Raw genomic sequence first — 24343 nt, forward strand, 5'->3', positions numbered from 1 at the left:
AACAAGAAGAGCAAATTAAATCCTAAATAAACAGAAGAAATAATAAGAATCTGAGCAGAAATCAATGAAACCAAAGATGGGAAATCAAGGAGAAAAATCAAAACCAAAGCTGGTTCTTAATAAAATTAAATTTAAAAAATCAATAAAATTGATAAGCTTCTAGGTAGCTTAACTAAGAAAAAAAAGAGAACACAAATTACCAATATCAGAAATCAAAGAGGGGACACCACTACAGATCTTACAGACATTAAAAGGAAAATAAAAGAATACTATAAGGCTGGGCACAGTGGTGCACACTTGTAGTCCCAGCACTTTGAAAGGACAAGGTTGGCAGATCACTTGAGGTCGGGAGTTTGAGACCAGCCTGGCCAACATGGTGAAACCCCATCTCTACTAAAACAATACAAAAATTAGCCAGGTGTGGTGGCAGGCACCTGGAATTCCAGCTACTTGGGAGCCTGAGGCATGAGAATTGCTTGAATGTAGGAGGTGGAGGTTGTAGTGAGCCGAGATCGCACCACTGCACTCCAGCCTGGGCAACAGAGTGAGACACCATCTCCAAACAAAAAAAACAAAAAAACAAAAAAAAAACAAAAAACTACTATAGGCCAGGTGTGGTGGCTCACAACTACAATCCTAGTGCTTTGAGAGGCCAAGCGGGAGGATTGCTTGAGGCCAGGAGTTCAACACCAGCCTGAGCAACATAGCAGGACCCCCTTCTCCACAAAAAAATTTAAAAATTAGCTGAGTATGATAGCATGTGCCTGTAGTCCTAGTTACTTGGGAAGCTAAGGTAGGAGGATCATTTGAGCCCAGTTCAAGGTTACAGTGAGCTATGATCCCACCACTGCACTCTAGCATGGGCAACAGAACAAAATCCTGTCTCTTTAAAGAAAGAAAAAAAGGATACTATGAACAAACTCCATGCCTATAAATTTGATAACTCAGATGAGATGAACCAATTCCTTGTTAGACACAATTTGTCAAAACTCAAACAAGAATAGACAATCTGAATAGGCCTGTACCTACTAAAGAAACTCCATCAATAATTAATAATTCCAAAATAGAAAGCACAAGGCCCAGATGGGTTCATTGTGAATTCTACCAAACATTTAGTGAAGAAATTATACCAATTCTCTACAATCTCTTCTCGAAGATAGAAGCAGAGGGAATAATACATAGTAACTCATGAGCCAGCATAATCCTAATACCAAAACCAGAGAAAGACATTATAGGAAAAGAAAACTATAAACCATTATCTCATGAACATAGATGCAAAAATCCTCAACAACATATTAACAAATTGAACCCAACAATGTATAAAAATAATTATACACCATGACCAAGTAAGATTTATCTCAAGTATGCAAGGCTAGCTTAACATTTGAAAATCAATTAATACAATCCATTACATCAACAGGCTAAAAAAATTTTTTTTAATCACATGATCATATCAATAGATGTAGAAAAAGCATTTGACAAAATCCAGTACTCATTCATAAATTCTCAGTAGGCTAGAAATAAAGGGGAACTTCCTCAACTTGATAAATAAAATCTACAAAAAAACCCCACAATTAACATAACACTTAATGGTTAGAAACTTGAAGCTTTCCCACTAAGATCAGGAACAAGATAAGGATGTCCACTCTGACCACTCTTTTTCAATATCATACTGGAAATAACAAGATAATAATAAGATAATAAAAGGAAATAAATAAAATAAAAACCCAACCATGATATTTTTACTCAAGTATCCATGATTACCAAAAATTAAATATGTTCCCCAACAAAAAAACTAACAGGAAAAAAAAGCAGCCATGGGTCCTGTTGGACAAATAATCATCTAAGTTATCTACACAGATGTCACAACATGGGAGCTAATGCATTTCAGGCAATTCTCCAGTATCAAACACTCATACAGCCACAATAGGTAACATTTTCCTATAGAGAAAGCACTTTTAACCTTACAGTGAGTGAATAAACAGAAACAGTGCTTTTAGTCAAAATTCTTTTAAAAGCTTTGTCACTGGAATTTCTTAATGACACTTGAAATAATAGTTTCCACGGATTAAAAAATATACCACAGAGGCCAGGCACAGTGGCTCACACCTGTAATCCTAGCACTTTGGGAGGCTAAGGTGGGTGGATGGCTTGAGCTCAAGAGTTCGAGACCAGCCTGAGAAACATGGTGGAAAACTATCTGTACCAAAAGAAAAAAAAATAATTACCCAGGCCTGGTGGCAACCACCTGTGGTCTCAGCAACTTGGGAGGCTGAGGTGGGAGGATCACTGGAGCCTGGGAAATCAAAGCTGCAGTAAGCTGTGATCATACTACTGTACTCCAGCCTGGGTGACAAAGGGAGCCCCTGCCTCAAAAAAAAAAACCACGCCAGGCATGGTGGCTCATGTCTGTAATCCCAGCCCTTTGGGAGGCCGAGGCGGGTGGATCACCTGAGGTCAGGAGATCGAAACCAGCCTGGCCAACATGGTGAAACCCCGTTTCTACTAAAAATAAAAAATTAGCTGGGCATGGTGGTACTTGCCTGTAGTTCGAGCTACTCAGGAGGCTGAGGCAGGAGAATCGCCTGAACCCAGGAGGTGGAGGATGCAGTGAGCTGAGATCATGCCATTGCACTCCAGCCTGGGCAACAAGAGTGAAGCTCTGTCTCAAAAAGGAAAAAAAAAAAACTACAGAACTCCTTATTTCTAATAACCATACTTCTAGAAACATACTAAAGAAGGTTAAAAAAAAGAAACCATCAGACTCATAAAGTTGGCAAAAATAGTGTGATAAAACCAGGGGCTGGTGAGGATGTGGAACAATAGGAACATTCTGGTAGGACATATATTCCTCATCACTTTGGAGAGCCATTTGAAAAACACATATCTTGTGAACCAGCAATACCACTTCTAAGTGTCCAACTGGAGCACCAGGAGAAATGTAAAATAATGTTCACTGGGGCATCCTAACTATCTAACTGTCCCCCAAAAGGGGAATGGAAAAATCGGCTCATTCTGATAAAAAGAATGAACTGGATCTATGAATCAGCATAAATCACGTCAATCATATGATCAGTAAAATACGCAGGTTTTGGGGTTTTTGTTTTGTTTTTGAGACGGAGTCTTGCTCTGTTGCCCAGCCTGGAGTGCAGTGACACAATCTTGGCTCACTGTAACCTCTGCCTCCTAGGTTCAAGTGATTCTCCTGCTTCAGCCTCCCGAGTAGCTGGAATTACAGGTAGGTGCCACCATACCCAGCTAATTTTTGTATTTTTAGTACAGACGGGGTTTCACCATGTTGGCCAGGCTGGTCTCGAACTCCTGACCTCAGGTGATCTGCCCACCTTGGCCTCCCAAAGTGCTGGGATTACAGGCATGAGCCACTGCACCCAGCCAAAAATGCAGATTTTTGAAAAATATAAATATATATTGTTTATATAAAATTCAAAAGCACAGAAGAATATTAAGTAAAATTTTATGGATACATACGTATGTATTAAATGGACTAAAACATGGCGGGAACACCACAAATTACCTGGAGGAAGATTTTCATTGTATACATTACACCTCTTTAAAGGAAATTATTTGGAGCAAAGTGTAACAATTGGCTACTACTGGTGGTGAATATGTAGATGTCTATCATGTTTTATACTTTGGTTAAAATGTTTCAAAATTAAAAACAAATTTTATTTTTAAAAAATATTCGAAATAAAAATGTAACATATGCTTATTGTACAGTAACTTTAAACAACATGGAAGCATAAAGAGAACACCCCCCCACACATTATATTATTATAAGGCAGATGTTCTAAGTTAATGATATACATTTAAATAACTAAATTGTGCATGCAACAATGAACTATAAAATGTACACACACATATGAGGAGAATATACCAAAAATTTTAACTGTAGTCATTTCTGGATAGTAGGATTAAGTCTTATTTTCTTTTTTATACATTTATCTGTGTTGCATATTTCCATTAATATTATTAGTGAAAGAAAGAAAAAAGGAAACTACAAAATGCAAACTCAAAATCATCACTGGGTAAAAACTTACACACCAACTCACCTGACAAGATTCTACTTTACATCTGATTCTAAAAGTATCAGACTATCTTTAAAGATTGGCCTCTTTAAATATTAATATCCAAAACCATACAAGCCAAAAGAATTGTGCCAATAAACTATACAGCTTTAAACTTCTACTTTTGCATAACAAAAGATATCTGTTTTAGTCTCCTGTATTTCTAGCATTGTCACATCAGAGTAGATGGTCCTGTTATGAATTAGATGTTATCATATGGAAAAATCTCCATACCAAATCTCGATTTATATCATAAAAATAAAGCTATGTGTAAATAATGATGTAGCTGTAGGAAATGAAATAGGACAGCATGCAGTGTTTATGTAATACATTGTAAGGCAACTGAAAAATATAAACATTGCTGTGTAAGCTCTAAATAAACGGACAGATATGCCATCTTAATAGATTAGAAGATGCAATATTATCAATGCCTATTCTCCCCCAAAATGAACTAGGTATTCAATGTAATTACAACCAATGTCCCAGTGGGCATTTTTTTACAGAAACTGACAAGAGTATTCTAAAATTTATATGGAAAAGCAAATGACCTAGACTAGCCAAAAGAACCTTGAAAAGGGTTGGGTGCAGTGGCTCACACCTGTAATCCCAGCAGTTTGGAAGGCTGAGGCAGGCGGATCACCTGAGGTCAGGAGTTCGAGACCAGCCTGGCCAACATCGTGAAACCTCATCTCTACTAAAACTACAAAAATTAGCCGAGCATGGTGGCGGGCACCTGTAATCCCAGCTACTCGGGAGGCTGAGGTGGGAGAATCGCTTGAACCTGGAAGATTGCAGTGAGCTGAGATCACGTTACTGCACTCTAGCCTGGGCAACAGAGCAAGACTCTGTCTCAAAAAAAAAAAAAAAAAAAAAGAAAAAGAAAAGAACCTTGAAAAGAGTAGGGGAGGAATGAATTTTACCTGATTTCAAGACTCACTATCCAGCTAAATAATCAAGACAATGTAGTACTGGCAAAAGGATAGAGAATCACATCAATGTAACAGAATGGAAAGTCCAGGAATAGACCCACACATAAAATGTCAAACAATTTTCAGTAAGGATGCCAGAGGTCAGGGGCGGTGGCTCACGCCTGTAATCCCAGCACTTTGGGAGGCCGAGGCGGGCGGATCATGGGGTCAGGAGATCAAGACCATCCTGGTTAACACGGTTAAACCCCGTCTCTATTAAAAATACAAAAAATTAGCTGGGCGTGGTGGCGGGCGCCTGTAGTCCCAGCTACTCGGGAGGCTGAGGCAGGAGAATGGCGTGAATACGGGGGGCGGAGCTTGCAGTGAGCTGAGATTGTGCCACTGCACTCTGGCCTGGGTGAAAGAGCGAGACTCTGTCTCAAAAAAAAAAAAAAACCACGTCAGAACTGAGGTAGGCAATGAGGAAAGTGTTTTTAACAAATGACACTGGCACAACTAGATATAAATGGGGCAGAGGGCTCGATATCACTCATAAACAAAAATTAATTCAAAATGGATTGTAGACTAAAATGTAAAAGCTAAAATTATAAACTCCAAGGAGAAAATATGGAAATATACTTTCTGAACTTTGGTGTAGGCAAAAATTTATTAGGGCACAAACGACACTAACCATAAAAGGAAAAATTGGTAATTTTGATGAAGCCCAATATAAAAACTTCTGCTCTTTGAAAAACACCATTAAAAAAATACACGGCCAGGAGCAGTGGCTCAGGCCTGTAATCCCAGCACTTTGGGAGGCCGAGGCAGGTGGATCACCAGGTCAGGAGACCGAGACCATCCTGGCTAACATGGTGAAACCCCATCTCTACTAAAAATACAAAGTTAGCTGGGTGTGGTGGCATGCGCCTGTAGTCCCAGCTACTCGGGAGGCTGGGGCAGGAGAATCCCTTGAACCTGGGAGGTGGAAGTTGCAGTGAGCCGAGATCACGCCACTGTACTCCAGCCTGGGCAACAGAGCGAGACTCTGTCTCAAAAGTAAAAAATAAAAAAGACAAGCTAAGTTACAGACTAAGAGAAAATATTTGCAAATATATCCAATAAAGAACTTGTATCGAGTAAATAATTGTTAAACTAAATTTAAAAAATATATACAATCTTATTTTTTAAATGGGCAAAGACTTGCTGTCACTTCCCAAATGACTAAGAACATTACATTGCTCAACATCAATAATAATCAGCGAAAGGTGAATTAAAGCTACGGTTATATCATTACATACCCATTAAAATGGCTAGAATGAGAAAGACTGACAATACCAAGTCTTAGGATATACACCAAGTGTCATATTATGCTGTTGGATATAAAATGATACAACTTTGGAAAAATTTGCCCACTTTAAAAATTAAAGTTAAAAATACACCTACCCTATAACCCAACACGTCCTCATAGGTATTCATCCTCAAGAAATGAAAACCTGTCCACAATTGGAAACAGCCTAAATTTCTATCAAAGGTGCCTGGAAAAACGAAATGTGGCATATATGCATAATGGAATACTTTAGCAATAAAAAGGAACTAATCCAAGCAACAAGATCGAAGAATCTAAAAATTATTATTCTGCATGAAAACAAGCCAGACTTGGGTGGGTTAGGAGGGGAAGGGAACAAGACACTGTATGATTCCATTTATATAAAATTCTAGAAAATGCAAACCAATCCATAGTGACAGATTGCCGTAAGACAGGGGTAGAGGGGGACAAATTACAAAGAGGTATGAGGAAACTTTGGGAGATGATGGAAATGTTCAGTTTTGATTACAGTGATGATTTCATGGGTGTATTAAAACTTACCAAATTGTACACTTTAATATGTGCAGTTTATTATATAGAAATTATACCTCAGTAAGGCAATAAAAAATTTTTTAAAGAAACAAGCAACCTAAAAGACTTCATAGCAGAATTAGAATTAGAATTCACTTCTGATATATGCAATTTTCTGATTATGTATTGTTCTTCAATACAAAGTTTTTAAAAGGAGGAACATCTATCTAAATGGCCTAGCAATCCCACTCCTTTATCCAAGATAAATGAAACATCTGTCCATAAAAAGACTTGTGCAAAAATGTTCATAACCATTTTCTTCAGAATAGTCCCAAACTAGAAGCAGCCCAGTTGCCCACCAACAGGAAAATGGATAAGAAATCTGGTATATTAACATCTTCTTTTTTGTTTTTTTGAGACGGAGTCTCGCTCTGTCGCCCAGGCTGGAGTGCAATGGCACAATCTTGGCTCACTGCAGCCTCCGCCTCCTGGGTTCAAGCGATTCTCCTGTGTCAGTTTCCAGAGTAGCTGGGATTACAGGCGCCCACCACCATGCCAATTTTTGTATTTTTAGTAGAGATGGGGTTTCACCATGTTGGTCAGGCTGGTCTTGAACTGCTGACCTCAGGCAATCCACCACCCCCTTGGCCTCCCAAAGTGCTGGGATTACAGGTGTGAGCCACCATGCCTGGCCATATTAACATATTCATACAATTGAATATTACCACTAAAAAGGAACTACTGATATAAGCAACAACATGGATGAATCTAAAAACATGCTGACAGCCTGGCCAACATGGTAAAACCCCATCTCTACTACAAATACAAAAAAATAAAAATAAGCCAGGCACGGTGATGCACACCTGTAATCCCAGTTACTTGGGAGGCTGAGGTGGAAGAATTGCTTGAACCTGAGAGGCGGAGTTTGCAGTGAGCTGAGATTGGGCCACTGCACTCCAGCCTGGGCAACAGAGTGAGACTCTGTCTCAGAAAAACAAAACAAAAAATGCACATGCTGAATGCAAGAAGCTGGAGACAAAAGCATGGTTATGATTTAATTAATACAAAGTTATAAAACAGGCAAAACTTACCTGTGCTGAAGCAACTATGACTGCAGTTGCTTTGGGGATAGGCAAAGAAAACAGAGAGAAGGAAAAGATAAAGAGCAGGGTAATGGAAAATGTTGTATACCTTGCTGGAGGTGTTCCGAAAAAAAATACTATGGACATGAAAAAACTGTAAGTCTATAAAATGCTACTCAATTACTAAGTTAAATACTTAATTTTTTATTTTTAATTAAGGGTACTTTTAAATTCACCTTGAATAATTCCTAAAAGGATAATGCAAAATTCAAATTTAGGCTTCTGAAATAAGCCTATAATTTCGACTGTATTGAAGAATAAATTTTATTAAAGTCTCAATTTGCTAACGTTTTTTAAAAAAATGTTTTATTACTGTATGTGTTGAAAAATTATAGGTATATACATTTATGGGGTACAAAGTGATATTATGATTTCTGATATAATGTGGAATGATTTCACTTTGCTGAAATTATCTACTTTCTTCCACAAACATTACTTTCCAATTAGTATTAGAACCAGAATGTCTTGTCCCAAGTGCTTTAAGATGACTTCATATAAGAATACTATACACTGGCCAGGCGAGATGGCTCAGGCCTGTAATCCCAGCACTTTGCGAGGCCAAGGCAGGCAGATCACCTGAGGTCAGGAGTTCAAGGCCAGCCTGGCCAACATGGTAAAACCCCATCTCTACCAAAAATACAAAAATTAGCCGGGTGTGGTGATGGGCACCTGTAATCCCAGCTACTTGGGAGGCTGAGGCAGGAGAATCACTTGAACCCAGAAGGCAGAGGTTGCAGTGAGCCTACTGCAGTGAGATAGGAGCGAAACTCTGTCTCAAAAAAAAAAAAAAAAAAAAAATACAATACACTATGAAGTGGAACTTAATATGAAAGGCTCATTATTAACAATTTTTCTTTTTCTTTTTTTTTTTTGAGACAGAGTCTCGCTCTGTCACCCAGGCTGGAGTGCAATGGTGCGATCTCAGCTCCTGCAACCTCTCCCTCCCAGGTTCAAGCAATTCTCCTGCCTCAGCCTCCTGAGTAGCTGGGATTACAGGCACATGCCACCACACCCAGCTAATTTTTGTGTTTTTAGTAGAGACAGGGTTTTGCCACATTGGCCAGGCTGGTCTAGAACTCCTGACCTCAGGTGATCCGCCCACCTTGGCCTCCCAAAGTGCTGGGATTACAGGCGTGAGCCACCGTGCTTGGCCTAACAATACTTCAGTAAGACTGTATAGTAGTTTCCAAAATGGTTACCTCCATTTATACCCCAGGATGTATGAGTGATGATTCACTGGGGTATACGAACATCTTATTAGAAGTTCTATTTTTATTTAATCCTTATCTTAATACACACATGTATTTTATATATAATACATATTTATCCTTAACATACAGACACTGGCGTCTTCACCGTGGCCACCTGTCAGAGAATCACACACCATACAAAGTAACATAAGTATTCTGGTATTAAATAATTGTAGGTATTGTGAGGCTAGAGTGATAGTAATTACTATCTTTAATACATTGATTCTTTTTCAATAATAAAGGATCTACCCTTTTGTAAGCTTCTACGAGAGACTGGTATTCCAGAGAAGACATATTCTCAACAGTAAATGATTTCCTCAATAAAAACGTTTTATGTGCTGGCCGTGGTAGCTCATGCCTGTAACCCCAGCACTTTGGGAGGCTGAGGTGGGCGGATCACCTGAGGTCAGGAGTTCGAGACCAGCCTGACCAACACAGAGTAACCCCGTCTCTACTAAAAATACAAAAAATTAGCCGGGCGTGTTGGCGCATGCCTGTATTCCCAGCTGCTCGGGAGACTGAGGCAGGAGAATCGCTTGAACCCGGGAGGCGAAGGTTGTGGTGAGCCAAGATTGAGCCATTGCACTCCAGCCTGGGCAACAACAGTGAAACTCCATCTCAAAAAAAAAAAAAAAAAAAAAAAGTATAGAAAACTGTATTATATAATCCTTCATGAAGCAGCTGCTTTGACCTCAATGAAACAAAGGTGGAGGAGAGGGTAAGGTTTAAGTCCAAGGGCAAAGCAGAATAAAAGAGAAACTGAAGCAAGAACAGAGCCAAGTGTTAACGGATGTTGTTATTGATGTTGTTAAGGAGTGATCATGGTATTTTGTACCAAACAGGTTTGTCTCATGGCAAATCATTTAAAAAATTGTGCAATTTAAAGATGAAGTAAGCATTTATCTTTTATAAAAAGAGTAGAGTTCTAAATTTGCTGAATTTCTGTTGTAAGTGGCTGTGCTGTGGCAGTATGCTACCTAGACATAGTTTCTAAAAACAGAAACATGGTTAATGCATCTGTACCTTAAAGGTAAATGAGACATTTTAAAACTTAGTAAGAAAATAGCTGTATTCTAAAAAAAAAAAATGTGTCATCTTAAAATACTCATATCTACACACTCTAAGAACAGAGAAGCCATTTCTAACTTTTTAAATGCCTTCCAAACACAGTTTTGGTGGATTTTGAATCCATTTATTAAAACTTTATAAATACAAATCCTCACACTGATTTGCAAGAATAGCTGATTGACAAATAGGGAGAACAAACTTTGTACTAGCCCAATCTGCATAATTGATGGATACAAACTTAACAGTATCTCCTAATAGAAAGTACAGCCGAAGAGGCACTTCTTCTTTTTGGATATATGTTCCTACATGAGCTGCCTTGTCAGCTAAGAGAAGCATTAAAAACCAGTAACATAATAAACAGATTCAAGAGCCAGATTTGGAAATTTCTGTGTTAATGAGTACTATAACCAAGATTTTTCAAATATAACGTATCATATTCATTGTTGCTGCCTTAAACTGTATATGTTTATTCTAAAAACTTAGGGTAAAAAAATTTTGAACCATTACTGCTTATTAAGTACACTATTCACAGATAAGTAGGATCACTGATTTCCTTTACCAGTTTCCAATGTCATTTGTTACAATATGAAATAAACCAAATGAGCCAAGAAATAATTATCCTTTATAAAGTAAACATTATTGGAAAATTAGAACAAATTATATTTGGGAAACATGCAAAATTTGGGATATATAAAGAATATATTTTCAAGTCATATTACTGGTTGTTTTGCTATATATATATATATATATATATATATTTTTTTTTTTTTTTTTTTTTTTTTGAGACAGGGTCTCACTCTGTCATTGCAGCCTTGACCTCCCAGGCTCAGGTGATGCTCCCAATCTCAGCCTCCCGAGTTAACTGCAACTACAGGCACACATCACCATGCCTGCCTAATTTTTGTATATTTTGTAGAGACAGGGTTTTGCCATGTTCAGGCTGGTCCCAAACTGGGCTCAAGCGATCCACCTGCCTCAGCCTCCCAAAATACTAGGATTATAGGCATGAGCCACCGCACCTGGCCTGCTCTACTGATTTAACCTAATACTTTTCTTCACTTATCAAACTCAGTAAAATCCTTCTAAAAGTAATTTCCAAAAGCATCCAAGTTTTTTATTGGTTTTGTTTTGAGACAGAGTTTTGCTCTCGTTGCCTAGGCTGGAGTGCAATGGCGCCATCTCGGCTCACCGCAACCTCCACCTCCCAGATTCAAGCAATTCTCCTGCCTCAGCCTCCTGAGTAGCTGGGATTACAGGCATGCGCCACCACGCCCGACTAATTTTTTGTATTTTTAGTAGAGATGGGGTTTCTCTATGTTGGTCAGGCTGGTGTCAAACTCCCCACCTCAGGCAATCCACCCACCTTGGCTTCCCAAAGTGCTGGGATTACAGGCATGAGCCACTGCACCCGGCCAAAGTTTTAAATACCATTGCAAAATTGACTTAAGATTCTACAATAATACTGGGCCTACTGAATATGTTTACAGTCCAATTTTTGCTAGCTATCACCATTCTTCACCATGGGGCTTAAATTTTAATAGTCTAACATAATGGTAAATCCTTGGCTTCCTGATCTTGTTTTTCTTCTCATCTAAAGGGATGACTTGTTCCTCCTTTTGTAAACTTTATCTGTTCACCCATTTTCAACTCAAAGACCCTTCTGCTTCTTTGTGGTCCCTGCGTCTTCAGTGTCATCTTCTACTGATTCCTCGTATTTTATACCTAAACTGGCATCCTCTCTATTGTGGAGAACAGAATACCTATCTTAGATTTCTCTATTATGCCTAGCTCTGCTTAGAGCAGAAAAACAGTATGCATTTTATTAAGAGCAAATACATATATACTTTTCAAAAAGCCAATTTATAAGACATAAGTGATATAGTTTAAGACATCTGCCTTAAAGCATGAAAAATACCTTAATAGCAAGAAGAGCATATGAAAAAGCTTTAGAGATCATACAGTCTGGAGTTTTAAAAACTATTTCACAACAAAACTCATCCAGATGAAATTTTACACAGCCTCTCAAATATATAAAGCTGGCAAAAGCATTGCTATTTTATGTTCAAATACATTATGTTAATTTATTGTAAACTCAAATAAAGAGATAAACTAAGGGTTAGAGATGTTAAACAATCCATTTATTTTTGTATGCTTTGTTTTGATTTCACCCAGGTAAGCAGTTGCAGCTCTTAACAGTCCCATCTACAGTCTTCAGGATACTCTTCAAATACACTGATCCAAATGTTTTAAACAATAAAAGGAAAAGCTTTATTCTTAGGAATTTCTGCCCCATCGCACCCCCAAAATTAGCCACGTATAACCATGTAGCACTATGGTCTTCAATGTGTTAAAAAAAATTTAGGCCAAGCGTGATGGCTCACGCCTGTAATCCCAGCACTTTGGGAAGCCGAGGTAGGTAGATCACCTGAGGTCAGGAGTTCAAGATCAGCCTGGGCAACATGATGAAACTCTGTCTCTACTAAAAATACAAAAATGAGCTGGGCACGGTGGTGCATGCCTGTAATCCCAGCTACTCGGGAGGCTGAGGCAGGAGAATCGCTTGAGCCTGGGAGGCAGAGGTTGCAGTGAGCTGAGATTGTGCCATTGCACTCCAGCCTGGGCAACAGAGTAAGACTCCATCTCAAAAAAAAAAAAAAATTATATACACACATGCATACATATAAATATACACATGTGTATATATGAATGAGTATGAGTGCCAGAACCATTCAATGGGGAAAGGACAGTCCTTTCAACAAATGGTGCTGGGAAAACTGGATATGCAAAAGAATGAAGTTGGACCCTTACCTAACACATTTGCAAAAATTAATCCCAAATGGATCAAAGACCTAAACATAAGAGTTGAAACTATAAAACTCCTAAAAGAAAACAGGGAAAACCTTCATGACATTGGATTTGGCTACAGCCTCTTGGATATAACACCAAAAGCACAGACAGAAGAAAAAATAAATTGGACTTCCTCAAAATTTAAAACTTTTGTGTTTGGGGAGTGGGGGGCTGGGGGAGGGATAGCACTAGGAGAAATATCTAATGTAAATGACGAGTCAATGGGGGCAGCAAACAAACATGGCACACGTATACCTATGTAACAAACCTGCACGTTGTGCATATGTACATCAGAACTTGAAGTATAAAAAAAAAAATTTGTGCAAAAGGATACTATCAAGACAGTGAAAAGATAACCCATAAAATGGGAGAAAATGTTTGCAAATCATATATTTGATAAGGGATTAATATCCAGAGTGTACAAAGAACTCCTACAACTCACCAAAAAACAACCTACTTTAAAAATGAGTCAAGGACTTGGATAGACATTTCTCCTCAGATATACAAATGGACAATAAGCATACGAAAAGATGCTCAACATCCCTAATCATTAGGAAAATTCAAATCAAAACCACAATGAAATACCACACCACGCCCATTAGAATAGCTATTATCAAAAACATAAAAAGAAAAAACACTAGAAAAGAAGTGTTGGCAAGATACAGAGAAACTGGAACCTTTGTGCATTGCTAGTGGGAATGTAAAATGGTGCAGCTGCTGTGGAATGCAATATGGCAGTTCCTCAAAAATTAAATATAGAATTAGCATACAATCTAGCAATCCCATTTCTGGGTGTATAGAAATACTGAAAAAAGAACCGAAAGGAGGGATTCAAACAGTTGTATACCAATACTCAAGGCAGCATTATTCACAGTACCCCAAAGGTGGAAACAACCCAAATATCCATAAATGTGGTATATACATACAACGGAATATTAATCAGTCTGAAAAAGGAATGGAATTATGATACATCCTACATGGATGATCTTGAAGACAGTGTGTTAAGTAACATAAGCCAGACACAAGAATCAATATTGTGTGAGTCAAAAGTAGAAAAGTTGTTACTAGGAGGGTAGGGTAGAGGGAGGGAAGTGGATAGTTACTGTTTTGTTTTTGAACAGGGTCTCACTCTGTCACCCAGTGTGCATGATCATAGCGCACTGTGGCTTGTAGAATTACTGTTTAATGGGAAGAATTTCAGTTTGGGATGATAAAAAATTTCTGGAGATGGTGGTGATGATGGCACAATAATGTACTTAAGCCACTGAACTGTACACTTAAAAATAGTTAAAATGGTAATTTGTATGTTATGCATACTTTACCACATTTCTTTCAAAGAGTATATGTGTGTGTTGCTTTAGTGGCAGTGTAAAAACATGGTTAAGAATACAAGCTTAAGAATTAGGCTGCCCGGTTTCAAATCCAGCTCTGCCACTATAGCTCTGCAGTCTTTGGGCAACTTATTGTCTGTGCCTATTTTCTCAAATAATAGACTCTATTTCATAGGGTTATGGCGAGAATTAAATAAATTATCACATATAAAGTGTTTAAAACAGTGTACGTCATACAGTGGCCACTTTTTATTATTATAAGTTTAAAATACATTTTTATTGAGATTAAAGTCAAACATCTGCAGAATCTCTGAAATTCTCAAGTTCAGTGAAACAGTTTAAGAAGCAGTGATCTAATCCAAACTTCTCATTTTATAGGTAAAGGAATTAAGAGTCCAAGATAAGTTATCTGCCTGAGGTCACATCTTGCTTCACTAATATTAATTTTCCTAAAATTAAGTGTTTGGGATTAACAATACTAATGTTGACATTCAATTACTTCCAAACCAAGGCAACCAAAGCCATGAGATTCTACAATGTGTAACCAAGAATCTGTGAATAGTGTGACAGTTATCCACGATGCCAATCTAGTAAGTATTTATGGGGTGAGCACCAAAGGGCAGCAAAACCAAAAGACATAATCATCCTCAAAGACAATGGTTAAAAACACCTCTTTGGAAAATAAAGAGTTAAATATTTGTGAAAACACACCCAATAGTGCCCACTACTCCACTCCTTTCACCCAGTCACATACTCTATAATCTTAGTGAGACCTCTGAGTCTGAAAAATAAGCTGCTGCTTCTACCAAATAAAGCTAACGTTTATCATAAGGCAACATCTACAAATAATTCTTTATTACATTCAAACAGGAGACAGCAATCTAAATTATACAAAATGTCTAACCCAAAAAATCATGAATTAAGCTTTTTGTACTTACTTGAGTAGGGCTGCATCTGGTTTCTGGGAAATTCACCACACAAAAAGCAAAATAACGGAGACAATCTTTGAAGGTCAGACTCAACAAGAGTTAAAAGCTATTGAGCGTCTCTATTTTGCCCCTCCCCCAAAGGTCCTCCCCCTCAATTCGGCTCTCAAAGGATAGCACCACCATGTGAAATGTCCTCCTCCCCATCTGAATCTGCTGAAATCCTACTCATCCTTAAAGGTTTCACTTAAATGCCGAGGCTTCCATGCATTCCTCCCTCAATTTAGAATTAATCTCTCTTCTTCGCTCTCCTATTCTATACCTCAACATTTTACTATATAGTTCACTGTATTACACTTACCTACATTCACTAACCCCCCGCACCGCACCCCCAAAAAAACCACCCCGAGGAGGAAAGGAATTTAAGGTGCTGTTAAACACCTCTATGCCAGGCAAGGTGCTACGCATTTTGCATACATTATCTCATTTAATCTACATGAAAAACATCTGGGGAGGTAAACAGGTGGTGTTATTCCCATTTTACTGATAGGGAACGTACTGCAGAGTTCAATAGCTTATCCAACTCACATTGCAAGCCAATTCCAGGGCGTACGGTTTCCCCCACTCCGAAGAGCTCTTTCCACCACCCCATGCTTGTTCACCTGGTGTCACCCAGCCTAACTGACAGAGTAGGTATTCCATAAATGTTTGCTGAATTTAATATCCCCATGGACTGACTCTTTAATAATCCGATCACGCCTCATCCCTAACCCGTTACCTTTACTGTTCCTTAACGGTGGACTTTACCTACATAAGCAGCTCTCCACATTTCCCTGAGAAATGCTGCAGACAACATCAACCCTTATTGGAAGATTGAGTGAAGAACTTTTCCATTCTCCCGGATTTCCCCAACGGATCTTCCCAAAGAATTTAAGAAATGCACACACGCAAGACACATGTAACACTTACACCCTCCCTCAAGGCTCTTATTTCATATTAAACCATGTCTTCGAGCTTGTAAGCAATAAGGTTTATGCGGTTTCCAGCTCACACAGTGGGGACACCCTAAGTCACTGCCTTAAGAAAACCACATCTTTCAACCTGTCTTAACACGAAGGCATCCTAATACTATCACACTGCCCCCTCCCTCCGTCCACCCCCCCCCCCCCCCCATGAATTGCAGTTTGGATTTCCGGCGGGAATGTATAATACAGACCGCAAGAGGAGACGCGGTTAAAAAGCAATGAAGCAATTACTTATCCTGTTTAATTAGAAAGAAGACACAGAAGGAGCCCCGCCTTTCAAAATCTCTGCACTGAACTCATCTATGAAAGATGGGGGCATCGAAACCCAAGCAACCCGACATCCAGTAGCTGGTTTCTGCAGCTGGGCGGGGGAAAGTCCTTTCCTCCCTGCGGTCCCGGGCCACCAGCCCCCGGTGCTGGGTCGGAGAAGCCTAACCGCACCCTCCCAGGCGGCCCCTTATCTCATTGTCTCCCTCCGTCGCGGTCCCCAGGGGCGCAGGGTGCAGTCCAGGCCCCACCGACCTCCATCCACCAGCCGGGAGCGGTCCAGCCAGCCCCGGCCCGATCCCCAACCTGGCAACGACCCCGCCCCAGGCTGCCGCCGACCGTACCGCACCCGGATGGCGGGGCCGGGCGCCGGGAAAATGGAGGCGGGAGCGGCAGGAGCGCCTCACGGCCCCGCGCCCAGCCGGCTCCCTACCCCCTGGCCCCGAGGGCGAGGCTAACCACTCACCGCGGCAGTCGGTCGGCCTTCCCGCGGCCCCGGGCAAGGAAACCGCCGCTCGCGCTCCTCCAGCCGCTGCCTCCGCCTCCTCCCCAGGCGCGGCGCTCCCTCGCCAGAGACGCAGCGACTGCCAGCAGCTCCCGCGCCGCGCGCTCAGTGACTGACTGACTGACTGACTGACTGACTGACTGACTGACTGGCGGGCGGCGGCGGGAGCGGGGGCGGGGCGGCCGCAGCGCCCCGCGGCGGCGGCGGCGGCGGCGGAGCCGAGTGTGCTCGCGTCCAGCCGAGACGCAGAAGGCGGGGTTGAGGGCCGGACTGCCGACTGTAGGGCCGACTCGCGCGGGACCGCGCGCCGCCCCCGCCCGCCGCCAACCACTCACTTCCGGCGCAGGCCGCCGCGCCCGCCGCCCTTCCCTAGCCCGCGCCCCGCGCCGGCCCTCCGCCCTCCCTTCAGGCGCCCGGCCGCGCCCGGCCGCACTCAACCGCGGCTCCGCTCGTGCCTCGCCTTTCCTCCGCAAGTCCCTGTGAGCCGCCTACAGGAACGAGTGAATCAGAGAATGAATGAGTGGGGAGGAAAATCCCAGTGCTGCCCCACCCCCTGCTCGCCTTTCATAGGAAGCCGGCCCAGCAGCCTCTGTCCTAGCGCCCTGGGAGGCACAGCAGCCTCCAGCAGTTCTGTCAGGGAGCTGTACGCATCCACCTTTATACGCTGTCCGTGTATTCAGAGACTCCAGAAACGCATCCGGGGTTGGCTCGGTCACTTACAGGACCATTGTCGTTGAGATCTGTGAGGCCCTTCTTTAGGAAATCCCATTTTGGCCAAAAAGTCTCTGCAGTTTCATGGAATGTATTGGGAAACTTAGGAACGGGACATTTCGATGACCTTTACTTTTTAAACTTCGAAATCTGTTAATCCTGCCTCCTTAATTTCTGTCCCCCCACCCCATCGGAATTGTGTAGTAGTAAGGTGTCGGCATTTTTCCTTATCGCTAAGCTCAGCTGCTGCCTCTTTAGATGCAGGCTTGACTTCGGCAGACTTTTAGATTTTAAGTATGTCCTTATTTTGACCTTCACCTAAAGTTGATCAAAGAAAGGAACAAATGGAACTAAGTTATGTTTGCTTGGCTACATGCAAAGCAAGTTTGTTGACAGCATTAAAACAATTGAGAAATTGGGAGTGTGACCTGAAATTGGTTGCAATGAACATTGCTTTTTCATGTCTTCCCATCTGCTTGCTAAGAATTTATTTAAATTTTCACAAAGCATTGACTGTACATTCCTGAAATCCTAGCTCCCTCTCTAAGAATGAGAGTGTTCATTTCTCTGTCCTGGGGCCAAATCCTGGTTTGGTTAATTACATTCTTACTTCCTGATATTCTTGAGGACTTTCAAGTGGTTTCAGTCTTTTTTGTACAATCTGTTCCAAACTGGTACACAATCTGTTTCAAATTGGTATTTAGAACCATACAATACAGATACTGGCTGCCTTTCACACTTGAGATATCTGTACTTTTGAAACATAACTGCCCTTTTGTATTTTAAGTTCAGTAGGTATGTCAATATTCTTGTATAGAATAATACTATCTCTTGACTGGATTAAGAAAATGTGGCACATATACACCACGGAATACTATGCAGCCATAAAAAAGGTTGAGTTAATGTCCTTTGTAGGGACATGGATGAAGCTGGAAACCATCATTCTCAGCAAACTATCGCAAGGACAGAAAACCAAACACCACATGATCTCACTCATAGGTGGGACTTGAACAATGAGAACACTTGGACACAAAGCAGGGAATATATCACACAGGGGCCTGTTGGGGGGATGGAGAGGGGGGAGGGATAGCATTAGGAGATATACCTAATGTAAATGATGAGTTAATGGGTGCAGCACACCAACATGGCACATGTATACATATGTAACAAAGCTGCACGTTGTGCACATGTACCCTAGAACTTAAAGTATAATAAAAAATAAAAATAATAAAAGAATAATACTATCTCTTATAAATGAAGATGATCCTGCTGACCAACTTCTTTTAGACTTCTCTTCCTTTCTTGTGGGAATCATCATTTGCCACCTAATTATTTCAAGAAGTTATCCTCCAAAAGTGAATATAATACAACACTTTATTCATCCTTGTATCTCCCACAATATCTAGCATAGTATCTTGCACAATAAGTATTTATAAATTAATAAATGCTTTAAAATTTTTCATAAGTGATAATTTTATACAAATGTATCTAGTCTTTCACCTCATTTCCCTTGTGACCAAGTTTGTTGACATTAGACACACCTGGGTGCCAAACTTAATGAATCCTATTGTCATTAAATGTACTAGGCTGTGTGATACCTTACAAGGAAGATGATTCATTTAAACCTCCTTAAAAAAATAGACGATTGAAGCCAGGAGTGGTGGCTCGCACCTGTAATCCCAGCACTTTGGGAGGCTGAGGTGGGCGGATCACCTGAGGTCAGGAGTTGGAGACTAGCCTGGCCAACATGGTGAAATCCCATCTCTACTAAAAATACAAAAATGAGCTGAGCATGGTGGCGGGTGCCTGTAATCCCAGCTACTCAGGAGGCTGAGGCAGGAGAATCACTTGAACTTGGGAGTGGAGCTTGCAGTGAGCCAAGATCCTGCCATTGCACTCCAACCTGGGTGACAAGAGTGAGACTCCATCTCAGAAAAAAAAAAAAAATAGACCATTGAGTGCCTTTTACATAGGTCTTAGCCAACTCTTCTCCAAGTGCTTAGCCTAAGATCAAGGTTAATTAAAAGAGAAAAAAGGTCACTTTCAGTCATTGAGAAAAGAGTGTTCTCATCAGTTTCTTTAAACCATTAAATCATTCGTTCATTCAATCAGAGTTTATTAAGCTACAATTAAGGCCCAGGAATACAAAGACAAGAAAGACGTGGCATGATGCTTCCTGCCTACAAAAAGCATACAGTCTAGTGGGTAAAGCAGGTAAGGAAGTCATTGTTAGACTGGAAGTCCATTACCAGATCAGGAAAGCCTTCCTGATGGGGAGATTCTTGAACTGAATGTTAAATGATAGGGAGGAGCTAACCAGAAGAAGGAGGGAACAAGCATTCCAAACGAAGAAAACAATATCTCTGCAGGTGTGTGGAAGCACCAAGCATCACCATGCTTTAGAGGCACCGTAAGTGTATTAGTCCGTTTTCATGCTGCTGATAAACACATACCTGAGACTGGGAAGAAAAAGAGGTTTAATGGACTTACAGTTCCACATGGCTGGGGAGGACTCACAATCATGGCAGAAGGTGATGAGGAGCAAGTCACATCTTACATGGATGGCAGCAGGCAAAAAGAGAGCTTGTGCAGGGAAACTCCCATTTTTAAAACCATCAGATCTCATGAGACTTATTCACTATTATGAGAACAGCACGGGAAAGACCCACCCCCATGATTCAACTATCTCCCACTGGGTCCCTCCTACAGCAGGTGGAAATTATGGGAGCTATAAGATGAGATTTGGGTGGGGACACAGAGACAAACCGTATTAGTAAGTAATTCCATTTTGTCAGAACAGGCATAGAGAAGAGTCAAAGAGGTTGGAGGAAAGGGTAGGAAGGGCTTCATTCATGAAGGGGCTCTTGTTAAACTAAGGAATTTGAATTTGATACTCTGGGAAATGTAGTAAATAATAAAATATTTGAAGTATTTTAGCTCCAGAACAACTGAGTTTGTGTTTTGGAGACCAAGAAGACCAGACTGGAGCAGGAGAAAATTAGGAGGTGATGGCAACAACCTGAATCCTAATGAGATGTGTGCTGCAGGTCTCAATAAAATCAAGAGGTCATAAAATGGCGAGGAGGGACTAGATGGGAGATATATTAAACAGGTAGAATCTACAGAATATATAACTGGATATGAGGGAGTGAATGCAACAGAGACATTTAGAATGACTCTCAGGATTCTGGTTTAGAAGAGTGACTGAATGGTGGTGACCTCTGAAATAAAGAGCGTGGGAAAAGAGCAGGTTTCAGGGAACTGGCTGAATACCTGTATGAGAAAGAATAGTACCATAAATCCAGGCATCTTAGTCCATCATTTCCCCAAGTGTTCTTTGGAACTCTAGTCCCACAGGATTTTAGTAGATGTGATTCCCCCTCAAAATTTTAAGTTCCTTTAATCAAATGAGAATGCCAGACAGTTCAATGGGTTTCTAAACTAGAGAGATTTCTGGTGGTTTTAATATTTTAATGTGCACTGGGAATTTCTGAGGTAGATATTATATACAAGCGCTTTCCAAATGTATTCAACCATGAAACCCTTTTTCCAATGGAACATCTTACAAGACATGTGTTCCACAGCACATACTTTGGGAAATGCTGACCTAAACCAGATTTTTGGTTTATAGTAAAGGAAGCTGTAGCTTAAGGCATGAAGTGACTTGTCTAAAGTTAAACAGCTATTACTAGAAGATACTGGACTAAGGTCCAGTATCTTCTGACCCCAGTCACATTCTCTTTCCAGTACATACTGCTTTATGAGTTACAAACTCAATTCCAGCACCTTCCACCAATCATGGGGAGAGGAATAAAAAATTATGGAATATATCGTTTTAAATGATGTTTCCAATCAGTCATTTTTAAAGATATGCTAATTTTTAATGGTTAATATTTTACATAAGATAAAAAGATTTGTACATTGGAGAAGTGGGACCGATTATCACCTTCATATGATCTTTCTGATAATTGAACAGGAGACTTATAAAATTAAATTGCCTAACTAAATAGAATATTCATCTAGTCGTCCTATCCCTGAAGTAGCTTTAAATAAAATAAACTTTCAGGAATTGATAGAAACATTAAAACTCTCCCCAAAAATATTAGTGTTTTTTTGTTTTGTTTTATTTTGTTTTTTTGAGACGGAGTCTCACTCTGTTGCCCAGGCTGGAGTGCAGTGGCACAAACTCGGCTCACTGCAAGCTCTGCCTCCCGGGTTCACGCCATTCTCCTCCCTCAGCCTCCCGAGTAGCTGGGACTACAGGCGTCCGCCACCACGCCTGGCTAATTTTTTGTGGTATTTTCAGTAGAGACGGTGTTTCACCGTGTTAGCCAGGATGGTCTCGATCTCCTGACCTCGTGATCCACCCACCTTGGCCTCCCAAAGTGCTGGGATTACAGGCGTGAGCCACCGCGCCTGGCCAAATTTTAGTGTTGATTTTATTCCACCTGCACATGGAAGGAAATGTCTGGTACTATGAAAATCCACACCAGATTTTGACTTCCTCTCTGGCACAATTCCCATGATTCTGAAAACTCTAATAGCTAATGGATGAGAGAGTTTTCTTATCCTAAATTCATATTCTTAATTCTCAAAGGAGGAATTTTAGTACTGCCTATTCTTAGAAAAATGAGACAATATTTTTTTTCAGGAGACCTCTTAGGACTCTGGGACAAATTTTAAGAGTAGCTTCTATAGATATTATCTTTGAAACAAGTTATCAGCATTTTAATTTATGTTTCGCACTTTATAAAGTATTTGTTTCATTTCTGAATGCTATATTCATTTTTAGTAGGCAGATCAAGACAATCATATGCGGTGTAAATATGTTGAGTGAATGAGTAATTAATTACTTTATTTTTTATTTGTTTTGGAGACAGAGTCTCACTCTGTTGCCCAGGTTGGAGTGCAGTGGCACAATCTCAGGTCACTGCCACCTCTGTCTCCCAAGTTCAAGCGATTTTCCTGCCTCAGCCTCCCAAGTAGCTGGGACAGCAGGTGTGCATTACCATGCCCAGCTAGTTTTTGTATTTTTAGTAGAGATGGGGTTTTACCATGTTGGCCAGGCTGGTCTTGAACTCCTGACCTCAGATGTTCCACCCACCTGGGCCTCCCAAAGTGCTGGGATTACAGGTGTGAGTCACTGAGCCCAGCCAGTAATTACTTACTTTAAAACTTCAGTAGCTATACGTCATGGAGAAAACACTATTATTATTATTATTTATCTTATTTATTTGTTTTTTTTTGTGTGTTTTTTTTTTGAGACGGAGTCTCACTCTGTCACCCAGGCTGGTGTGCAGTGGTGGTATCTAGGCTCACTGCAAGCTCTGCCTCCCAGGTTCACGCCATTCTCCTGTCTCAGCCTCCAGAGTAGCTGGGATTACAGGCGCGTGCCACCACGCCCAGCTAATTTTTTGTATTTTTAGTAGAGACGGGGTTTCACCATGTTAGCCAGGATGGTCTCGATCTCCTGACCTCATGATCTGCCCGCCAAGGCCTCCCAAAGTGTTGGGATTACAGGCGTGAGCCACTGCGCCTATTATTATTTTTGAGACAGAGTCTCGCTCTGTCACCAGGCTGGAGTGCAGTGGCACGATCTCAGCTCACTGCAACCTCTGCTTCCTGGGTTCAAGTGATTCTTCTGCCTCAGCCTCCCAAGTAGCTGGGACTACAGGCACACACCACCATACCCAGCCATTTTTTTGTATTTTTAGTAGAAACGGGGTTTCACTATGTTGGACAGGATGGTCTCAATCTCTTGACTTCGTGATCTGCCTGCCTTGGCCTCCCAAAGTGTTGGGATTACAGGTGTGAGCCACCGCGCCCAGTGCAAAAACACTATTATTAATCCATTTATCAAATTAATTGCATTTATTTATTTAATATTCACTGCGTCTCCAGCTGTGTCTAGAATCTCTAGAGAAATACATGAAATAGTCTCTGATTTTTAAAAATCATTCCACCCATCGTTGACAAGGATGGGAAGAAATAGGCACTCTCACACCTGCAAGTGGGAATATAAATCATTGCAACCTTTTTCTATAGGGCAGTTTGGCAACAGATATTCAAAGGAGTAAGAACAAAACATTAGCTGGGATATTGTGGGATGATGACAAATATTTGGAAAGCCCCTAAATGTCTAGCCATGGGAGGTTGTTTAAGAAAATGAAGGCTGTGGCTGGGTGCGGTGGCTCACGCCTGTAATCCCAGCATTTTGGAAGGCCGAGGCCGGCGAATCACCAGGTCAGGAGATCGAGGCCATCCTGACCAACATGGTGAAACTCATCTCTACTAAAAATACAAAAAATTAGCCAGGCGTAGTGGTGCATGCCTGTAGTCCCAGCTACTCAGGAGGCTGAGGCAGGGGAATGGTTTGAACCAGGGAGGAAGAGGCTGCAGTGAGCTAAGATCATGCCACTGCACTCCAGCTTGGTGACAGAG

General features: G+C 40.9%; 1 protein-coding gene across 19 annotated transcripts in view, besides 3 other annotated features; it reads right to left on the reverse strand.

Annotated features, from left to right (window-relative positions):
• Positions 1-17343, reverse strand: part of RAPH1 (Ras association (RalGDS/AF-6) and pleckstrin homology domains 1) — a 101620-nt gene extending 84277 nt beyond the window's left edge. For 9 of the 19 annotated variants that reach the window (NM_213589.3, NM_001439024.1, NM_001439027.1 and 6 more), the window contains exon 1: positions 17153-17343. Coding sequence is in view for 6 of the 19 variants with exons in the window: in XM_047445547.1 (XP_047301503.1) it covers positions 15407-15429; positions 16202-16250 (72 nt within the window). In the remaining 13 variants the exon portion in view is untranslated. Of the gene's footprint in view, positions 1-15406; positions 16274-17152 lie in introns of those variants that run through there. The other 10 variants (XM_047445547.1, XM_047445543.1, XM_047445542.1 and 7 more) reach the window with 3 other exon arrangements.
• Positions 17112-17211: a silencer, noted in NCBI's record as "silent region_12256". NCBI's record gives its function as "represses an Ori minimal core promoter by ATAC-STARR-seq in GM12878 lymphoblastoid cells {active_cell/tissue: GM12878}" and the evidence as "EXISTENCE:reporter gene assay evidence [ECO:0000049][PMID:35858748]".
• Positions 17282-17371: a silencer, noted in NCBI's record as "silent region_12257". NCBI's record gives its function as "represses an Ori minimal core promoter by ATAC-STARR-seq in GM12878 lymphoblastoid cells {active_cell/tissue: GM12878}" and the evidence as "EXISTENCE:reporter gene assay evidence [ECO:0000049][PMID:35858748]".
• Positions 17422-17491: a silencer, noted in NCBI's record as "silent region_12258". NCBI's record gives its function as "represses an Ori minimal core promoter by ATAC-STARR-seq in GM12878 lymphoblastoid cells {active_cell/tissue: GM12878}" and the evidence as "EXISTENCE:reporter gene assay evidence [ECO:0000049][PMID:35858748]".

This window comes from Homo sapiens, chromosome 2 (genome assembly GCF_000001405.40).
Source record: "Homo sapiens chromosome 2, GRCh38.p14 Primary Assembly".
NCBI lineage: Eukaryota > Metazoa > Chordata > Mammalia > Primates > Hominidae > Homo > Homo sapiens.